The 9355-nt window shown below is 38.7% G+C and overlaps 2 annotated features.

Moving 5' to 3' along the window:
• Positions 2326-2405: an enhancer, noted in NCBI's record as "active region_5489". NCBI's record gives its function as "activates an Ori minimal core promoter by ATAC-STARR-seq in GM12878 lymphoblastoid cells {active_cell/tissue: GM12878}" and the evidence as "EXISTENCE:reporter gene assay evidence [ECO:0000049][PMID:35858748]".
• Positions 6744-7943: an enhancer, noted in NCBI's record as "P300/CBP strongly-dependent group 1 enhancer chr11:108487156-108488355 (GRCh37/hg19 assembly coordinates)". NCBI's record gives its function as "activates an origin of replication core promoter dependent on BRD2, BRD4, P300/CBP, MED14 and CDK7 cofactors, with strong dependence on P300/CBP, by STARR-seq in HCT116 cells {active_cell/tissue: HCT116}" and the evidence as "EXISTENCE:reporter gene assay evidence [ECO:0000049][PMID:35650434]".

The following is a 9355-nucleotide window of genomic DNA, read 5'->3' as shown; positions in this document are numbered from 1 at the left end:
TGTGCATGCCAATATCAATGCTGCACCCAGAGAGCATGCTAGACGGAGTTATGTTGATTCTTGGAGAAGTCTGCCTTTAACAATAATGCCAATTGCACCACAGACACATCTTCAACACACAAGCCCCACCTCAAATGAAAAACTTTTTTACAAAACAATGAACACATGTTGGCCTGTTTGATTGGGAAAAGCCTTTAACCATGATAAAAAATGAGCCTGGTGCTAAGAAAAAATTAAAACAACCGTGAGAGAAGAGGCCAAATGTTATTGAGCAGGTCTTTCAAATTGGTGGCCTTGAACCATTGGACATAGGACTTTAAAATTTCATATTTTCATTCCAGTGATAATCTAATGATATTAATATAATCATTACATCAAAAATATCTTGAAAATATTCTTCGGGCTATTTCTTATTCCCCTCATTTATTATGTTTCACAGTACCCTACTATAATTCATGCTGAGCCTGATGGTGCCCAGGGAAGAAGATACTAACCAGAAGGAAGTTCCACAGAATGAAGAAGAGATGATAGAGGGCAAGTAACCATAAGAATAGAAAGGGACAGGCCAGGTGCAGTGGCTCGTGCCTGTCATCTCAGCACTTTGGGAGGTGGGAGGATTGCTTGAGCCCAGGAGTTTGAGACCAGCCTGGGCAACATCGTAAGATCCTGTTTCTACAAAAAAAATTAAAAATAGAAAAAATAAGAATAGAAAGGAACATAGAAGCCCTTCTGGAATGGGGAAGAAATGAGGCAAGAAGTCAAAACCAGTATCTTCCTTCTCCTTGATCACTCAACCCCTCTTTGCCTTCATCCTTCCCTTTTTGTTCAAATTGTTTCTGCCTAAAGTAAATCCTTCTTTAGCTCTTTTAGCAAGGAATGTGAGTGGTAAATCTTCTCTGTTTTGTATTAAAATATTTTTATTTTGCCTTATTTTATTTTGACAATTGAATGATAATTTAGTTGGGGATAGAATTCTAAGTTGACAGTTTTGCAACTTTTATTCCATTGACTCTGAATTTGATAATTTCTGTTGAAAAGTCTATTGTCATTTTAACTAATGTTCTCTTTTAGTTTAAGTTTTAAAAATCTTTGGGTGTCTTAATATTTTCTTTTCATTTGAGGTGTTCCATCATTAGTTATCCTGAAGATTCATGTCTTTCATTAATTTAAGAAAATTCTCAGACATTATCATTTGAAATACTGCCTCTCCCACTCTTCATTCTCTCCTTTGGAAATTCCTATTAGATAGGCACTGGACATTTTTCTTCTTTCTTCCATATCTCTTAAACTATCTTTCATATTTTCCATTTCTCAAGCTTTTGAGAGTCACATTTGTATATATTTCCTTAGATCTAAATTTCAGGTCATGAATTGTCTATTTAAGAATTAGTGTAGCTGTATTTTTTTATTTTAATTTTTAGAAATTTTATTTTTTAAAAGTAGGACTTTGATCTTATTTTCCTGTAATTCCTATTCTTTCTTATCTCTTGTTTTAAACATACTTATTTTATAGTGCTATAAGCTGAAGTGCTTGGGAGGGAGTATATAACTGCTGTTTATTGAATCTGATAACTTTCACACATGGTGGATTATTTCCTCCTGTATTTTGTCATTTCACTGGGGATCATTTTTTCTTTGTAGCCTTGGGTTTGGAAGTACCCTGTAAAGTAGCTTATTTGTTTGTTTATTTATTTATTTATATGGTTTGTCTGTGTCCCCACCACAATCTCATCTTGAATTGCAATCCCCATTATCCCCACATGTCGTGGGAGGGACCCAGTGGGAAGTGATTGGATCATGGAGGCAGTTTCCCCCTTGCTGTTCTCATGATAGTGAGTTCTCACAAGATCTGATGGTTTTGGGAGTGCCCGGCATTTCCCCTGCTAGCACTTCTCCCTCTTGCTGCCCTGTGAAGAAGATTCATTCCTTCCCCTTTGCCTTCAGTCATGATTGTAAGTTTCCTGAGGCCTCCCAGGCAATGCAGAACTGGAAGTCAATTAAACCTCTTTCCTTTATAAATTACCTGGTCTTGGGCAGTTCTTTATAGCAGCGTGAAAACAGAGTAATACATTTATTTTTTAATTTTTTACTTATTTATTGAGACAGAGTCTTACTCTGTCACTCAGGCTGGAGTGCAGTGGTGCAATCTCGGCTCACTGCAACCTCCACCTCCCAGGTTCAAGAGATTCTCATGCCTCAGCCTCCTGAGTATCTGGGACTACAGACACGCACCACCATGCCTGGCTAATTTTTTTTTTATTTTAGTGCAGACAGGGTTTTGCCATGTTGGCCAGGTTGGTCTCTAACTCTTGGCTTCAAGCAATACACCCGCCTTAGCCTCCCAAAGTGCTGGGATTACAGGCATGAGCCACCATGCCCAGCTATTTGTTTATTTAATTTTTGCTTCTGGCATACTGTCAAGTTGAGGTTTACATTAACTTTGTGACTCGGGGAGTTTCTGGACAATACAGGAAATTCCACATCTGTCCATGGAGTACCTGGGGTTTTAATTTCTTGAAAGAGCTTATGTTGTTTTCTGCCCAAAAACCTAGGCATTGACATGTTTCCTTTGAGTCTCCCTGAGACTATGGGGAGAGTTCTTCTAGTCATTCTTTCACACAGGCACATCGCTCTCAGTGTCCCTGCATAGGCTTAAGACCTATGGTCTTAAATAGCATTGTTAATTTCTAAGTGTAAAATTGCAGAGTCAGTCTGTGTGCTTACCACAAGGCTTTCACATCTTTTTTCCATTTCTGGTATGGGGAGTTTCCTTTCTCTATGTAGTTACATATAATTATATTGTACCTCTAAATAGCTACATTGCATCCAGCATTTTGAGGTTTACGAGAGAAGATTCTGTGTTATCTTAGTCCTCTTTGTTGTTAGAACTACATGTTTAGCATTGAATTTTTAATTTCTTGGCAAGCATCTGTGGTTGCTTTTATGTCTTGATTTTAAAATGACAGTTAACTGTGTTCAAAGTAGTACTGATGTTTCATTCTTTTACCAAAATCAAACTTATTTCATTGAAGTGAAAATTCAAAATTAAAGGCAATTTCATAGAAAAAAACTTTAGTTTTATAGAAAAGTTAATCCATTGAGACTTCCATTTGCTTGTATGAAAATGATATGATACAGTGGAGTCATGAACTACTTTGATTGTTATAAACCAATGAGAAAAAAACACAAGAAGCAAATGTAATATATGAATGATGGTTTCAATCCAAGTGGAGGCATGAAGTGAGAGAAAGTTTTACAAGTAGTCAGATAGAGATAACTGGTAGAAGAATTGAGTCATCACACAGCAAATACTATAAAAGGCATATTGTCATAAATGAGTAGATAGGTTACATAAATTTCACTTCTGTACACAGAAGTTCAACAGTTCATGACTACTATGTATAGTAGTAAGTATGCAGTTAAAAAAATTCTGAAAACAGTGTGTTTTATTCATTAGCGTTGCATCGGGAGGATACAGTATTAAAATGAATATTTCATTAAAGTAACCAATGGCTGATTTTTTTAAAAACCTAGTTCATTGTTTTCTTTCAGCAACACTATACCCTCTGTTTCATGACATACATATTGGTAAATAGATTTTTAGGTTATTTAGTTTTCTTTTTTTAATTTTTAAGTTTAAAAAAATTATTGCCCATATAGTTTAATAAAGCTACATGAATCAGAAGTTTGTACCTAATTTTTTGTTTGTACATATTAAGTAACATTTAAATTAAAACAATTCAAGTCATCATTAAAGATCCAAGTAAGAAACAGTGGTATGTAAGTGTTAAAAGGAAACTTGAGACAAGTCAAATTTGATGGAGTTTAGTTGAGCAAAAAAAAAAAAAAAGGAAACAATTTGTGAATAGGGTAGCCTTCAGAATTACAGCAGAGTCAGAGAGACTCCTGGGGTATATCGTGGTCAGAACAAATTTATAGATTAAAAAAAGTAAAGTGACGTACAGGGATCGGAAATGAGGTACGGAAACAGTGAGATTGGTTACAGCTCAGTGTTTGCCATATTTGAACGCAGTTTGAACACTCAGCAGTCTATGAGTGGTTGAAGTATGGCTGCTGGGATTGACCAACACTCAGCTATTGTTACAGGTGCATACTCCTAAGTTTAGTTTTCAGTTTTGTCTGCCTATTAAGCTAGGTTATGGTTCTCCACAAGGACTCAAATATAGAAGTACAGAGTCCTTCTCAGGCCATATTTAGTTCACTTCAACATAAGATAAGACTCTAGGGTGGGAGATAGAGTCCATGCACTGCAGCCCTGGATTTTCTATTAGGTTGAATGATATGAGCTTGTCATATAACCTTTTTCAATTTTACCTACAAAAATTGCAATAATACATAATAGCTATGTAAACTTGAGTAAGAAATTTAACTTCTTTGAGTCTACCCTTTCTCATCTGTAAAATAGAGAAAAATAGTTCTGACCTATTAGAATATGGCTGTTTATATATTAGAACAGAATTTATTTTACTTATCTAATAGATAGAGTTATTTTTTTCTCCACGAGGATATGTTCCAAGGAATCTGGTCTTTTATAATAAAAAAAAATTGCTCCATTTCCCCTTGGGGAGAAGAGGTGTCCTGCTTCCCCCAACCACTGGCAAGAGGGGAGAGGAGAACTAGCTGAAAGAATTTTCCCAAGAAGAGTAGAAGCTCCACCTCCTTATCCTACCAGAAATCTCAAAGATGGCCTTGCCATGTCTGGGAGTTTCCATGCCTATTCTTGACCCAATGTTAGACTAAGAGCTTCCACCACGGCCATAAACGACACTCTAGTAAAAGCCAGATGGTATCATGTTACAAGGTACAAGAAGAGCAAAACATATTTCTACACAGAAAGGCTATAAAGATCCAGGACACTTTTGTCAAAATCCACATACAGTTTCCCCTTCAACAACCGGGGTTTGAACTGCGCTGATCCATTTACATGAGATTCTTTTCAACCAAGAACAGACTGAAAACACAGTATTCCTGGGATGGGAAATCCTGATATACGCAGGGTAAACTTTTCATCTATGGGGGTTCTACAGGGTGGATTGCTGAACTTGAGTATGTGGGGATTGGGGATTTGCAGGGGTCCTGGGGCCAGTCCTCTGATTATACAGACAGATGGCAGTACTATTTTGGGTTGGAGAGAGTGACGCTTATGATTGCAGTCACTATCAACAAGATACTGAAAATTAATTTTCAATAACAATGACTGTTAAACAACTCATCTATTTGTAGGATATTAATTTGGTGGACAAAAGGAAGACAAGCAGTCTATACTCAATAAAAAACAAATATGTATAGATAAACAATAAGCCATCAGATTTGATTCCTAAAGAATGGATATAAAATTCAAGAATTTGAGGCAAAAAATCATAGATCTACATAGATATGTAGACACAAAAGATCTATACATAAATACATGAACATATATATAAAATGTATATAGCCTTTGACTTAGCAGACAGAGACAGAGAAAACATTCACAGACACACAATGATAGGAACAGTAAGGATTATCTTACAGATCATGAAAGCCATGTGAGGTAGACCATCCATTTTCGGACAGCATCAGTACACATTTATATTAGTGGCCAGAGTGATACCAGATTTCATCTAACATTCCATGTATAAGGATAATCATCTCTCAACCACCAGCCTCAGGCAGCCATGAGAATTAGATAGTATGAAATAACATTTCACAAGGGGCTGCTATAGACATGAATCATATTTACCAAAAGAATAACTACTGTTTGTGATGTTACCAATTTTATTTACATGGAGGGAGGGGGAAGGGAATAGAGGAAATAACACAATATAGTTAATTTTTTAAATTCATGTTTCTTTATAAGGTTTCTGTATTTGATTCTGGGTAAAACTTGAGTTGTAGAAGTGAAATTTTCAGCTTTCCCAGAAACTCCAGTGAAAACTGGATATGATTATTTTTCAGGCAGGGGACTACGCAATGTGAACCTTTTCTGTTCAGGATTTGTGTATTTCAAGTGCTAAGTGGAAGCAGACTGAAATATTCTCAGAATACTGTCCTAAGAACACTCTAGGAAAACAAATGTGTCTGGCAGAAATATTTCTTAATGGTTACCAGGACTGTTCCTCCTTAAAAATGCATCACAAATTCCACAAATGAGTATGTGGGGGCATACACACCCCCATCCACCTACCTCTAATCCCTAAACAAATGCCTCTTTCTTTTGTCTATTCAAACGTATCTGAATTTTTTAAAAATGTTCTCTTTTAATTTCTTATTTTATTAGTAACTCCAACAAATATATACACTAAAATAAACATGAAGTCTCATTATGCCACAGAAGCTTACAAGAGGTAAGGAAAGGGATAGAGTGGTATATACCTTGTAATGATTCTCTAACAGGTTAGACTGTCCTTAAGCATCCTGCATAAGTGGCTTAGGAAGCTTATGCTGCAGCTGACTTTCTTTTTTAATTCACTCAGAATTTTGCCACAAATTCATTAACTCTTTGCTAATCAGATATAATCCCAAGCCACTTTTAACCTGCTTAGAACATCTCTGGTGTGCATCTGGTGTTAACAGAAAATACAGAAAGGACATAGGGAAAAAAAAGTCTTGCCTCCTGTGCACCTTTGCAAGATGACAAGCTTTTCCTGCCCACAAACAGCATCTGCATCTAGTAGGCTAACAAGGCAGTAGCCAACAGGTAAATCTTCTACCTCTTTCTGAACCACTGAAGTACCTTTAGTCATCCTCCTTGCCTTCTCCTTCCTTCCCTCTTCCCTTCGCCTCCCCTTGTACCCAAACATGATGTTCCATTAACAAATAATGCTCTTAGAGCATTGAGGGGAACACACTGGAGAAGGAGAACAAGACTTTGCCTTGTTTCTCATTCACAGTTTTAGTGGAATCTATTTGGAATCTAAGCCCTGCTTACAAAGGAAAACATTGGGCATCATGAAAAATTTGAGGGATGTAGACTGGATCTTGGGTCTCAACTCTGTCGCCCAGGCTGGAGTGCAGGGGCCCCCAACCATAGCTCACTGCAGCCTCGAACTCCCTGGCTCAAACAATTCCATCCTCCCTCCTTATCCTCTCACTCCCCACAACACACACCATTAGCTGAGACTACAGGCCCTGGCAGCCACCACGCCTGGCTAATTACGCCAGATCTTATAGTTCAGAAACTCTTAAGTAGCTCTTAGTGATAGCCTCAAGCCCTGGGAACTGTCTTAGGATTTCCTATCCCAAAAAGGGAAAATAATTGTGTTTAGGTCAGTCCTCATCTCAATTTAAGAGGGGCTTGATTAACACTGAAAGTTTGAAGATTAAACCTTTTATCTTGGCCCATTTTTTCAGCTGTTCCCTTACATTTTCTACTCCTCTGCCAGGTTGCAAAGTTTTAAAAGACCATGGAGTACTATACTGAGCATTACACTGAGTAGCTGCTCACCTAATATTTAAGGAATAGGATGGAATTATGCTATCCCTAATTCAGGCTCCTGGCTTAGTACACCATCCACTGCTCTGGAATGTGATCGCCCTATTGCAGTGTCATGGTGATGGTGACCACAACAAAAAGAAAGCAATCTCTCAGGAGAAACCAGGAGGTTCTTTCTAGTTAGTCAACGCACGGAAGACAAGGTGATTCACACAACTCCAATGAGGTAATCATAAGACAATAGGATTTGAAATCCAGCAGGAATTATGAGTCATAACAGTCACATTTTCAGTTGGAATATCCAGTTTGTTTTGCTTCTCAGGTAAATAATAGGCAGCATACCTACATATAGACAAAAGCAAAGGGCCTGAATTATTTGCTTTTTGTTTTTTTGTTTTGAGACAGAGTCTCACTCTATCACTCGGCCTGGAGTGCAATGGCTCGATCTCAGCTCACTGCAATCTCTGCCACCCTGGTTCAAGGGATTCTCCTGCCTCAGCCTCCCGAGTAGCTGGGATTACAGGCTCCTGCCACCGTGCCCAGCTAATTTTTGTAATTTTAGTAGAGACGGGGTTTCACCATCTCGGCCAGGCTGGTCTCGAACTCCTGACCTCGGGTTATCTACCCACCTGGGCCTCCTAAAGTGCTGGGATTACAGGTGTGAGCCACTGCGCCCGGCCCGTTTGTTTTTTGGGTTTTGTTTTGTTTTTTGAGACAGGGTCTCTGTCTGTCACCCAGGCTGGAGTGCAGCAGCGTGATCTTGGCTCGGTCTGCCTCCCAGGTTCCAGCTATTCTCCCACCTTATCCTCCCAAGTAGCTAGGACCACAGGTGTGCACCACCCCGCCCGGTTAATTTTTGCATTTTTAGTAGAGACGGGGTTTCGCCATGTTGCCCAGACTGGTCTTGAACTCCTGGGCTCAAGCAAACAGCCTGTCTTGGCCTCCAAAAGTGCTGGGATTACCGGTGTGAGCCGCCGTGCCCAGCTATTTGCTTTTTAAAATTTATATAATCTTGGGCCGGGCACGGTGGCTCACGCCTGTAATCCCAGCACTTTGGGAGGCCAAAGCAGGCGGATCACAAGGTCAGGAAATCGAGACCATCCTGGCTAACACGGTGAAACCCCATCCCCACTAAAAATACAAAAAATTAGCCAGGTGTGGTGGCGGGCGCCTGTAGTCCCAGCTACTCCGGAGGCTGAGGCAGGAGAATAGCGTGAACCCGGGAGGCGGAGCTTGCAGTGAGCGGAGATCGCGCCACTGCACTCCAGCCTGGGCGAAAGAGTGAGACTCCGTCTCAAAAAAAAAAAAAAAAAAATTAATAAATGCTCTTTATGTACAAATATATTTTAGTTTTATGACCATGGAAGAAATGTCATAAGTATTTTCTCTCACTTCATAAATCTTTTGTATGCATTATTAGGAGTTATATTTATTCCTAAATTAAATATTCACTCAAATAACATGCCCTAAATTATTGTGAATAGCTATTGGAAGTGAGGATGAGAGAAAAAAGTTTTCCCTTGGAAAAGCCTCTCCTAACACAATCAGCATGACAGTTGCTCTTGAGATAACATGAATTCTGTTATCTCGTAAGCAATATAATTGACTAGATAGTAGCAACAAGGAAAAAACCTTTTAAATTTAAAAAAAAGAAGATAAAAAGAAAAAAAAGAGCTTCAAATCACAGAAAAAACCAAAAACTTTAGTTTTGTTTTGTTTTGTTTTGTTTTGTTTTGTTTTGTTTTTGAGACAAAGTCTCACTCTGTCACCCAGGCTGGAGTGCAGTGGCGTGATCTCGGCTCACTGCAACCTCCGCCTCCTGGGTTCAAGCAATTCTCTGCGTCAGCCTCCCAAGTAGCAGGCATTACAGATGCCCACCACCACGCCTGGCTGATTTTTTGTATTTTTAGTAGAGACGGGGTT

The sequence above is a fragment of the Homo sapiens genome, chromosome 11, assembly GCF_000001405.40.
Source record: "Homo sapiens chromosome 11, GRCh38.p14 Primary Assembly".
Taxonomy (NCBI): Eukaryota; Metazoa; Chordata; class Mammalia; order Primates; family Hominidae; genus Homo; species Homo sapiens.
Note: the sequence above shows the minus strand (reverse complement) of the source record. Positions and strands in the feature narration are given on the sequence as shown.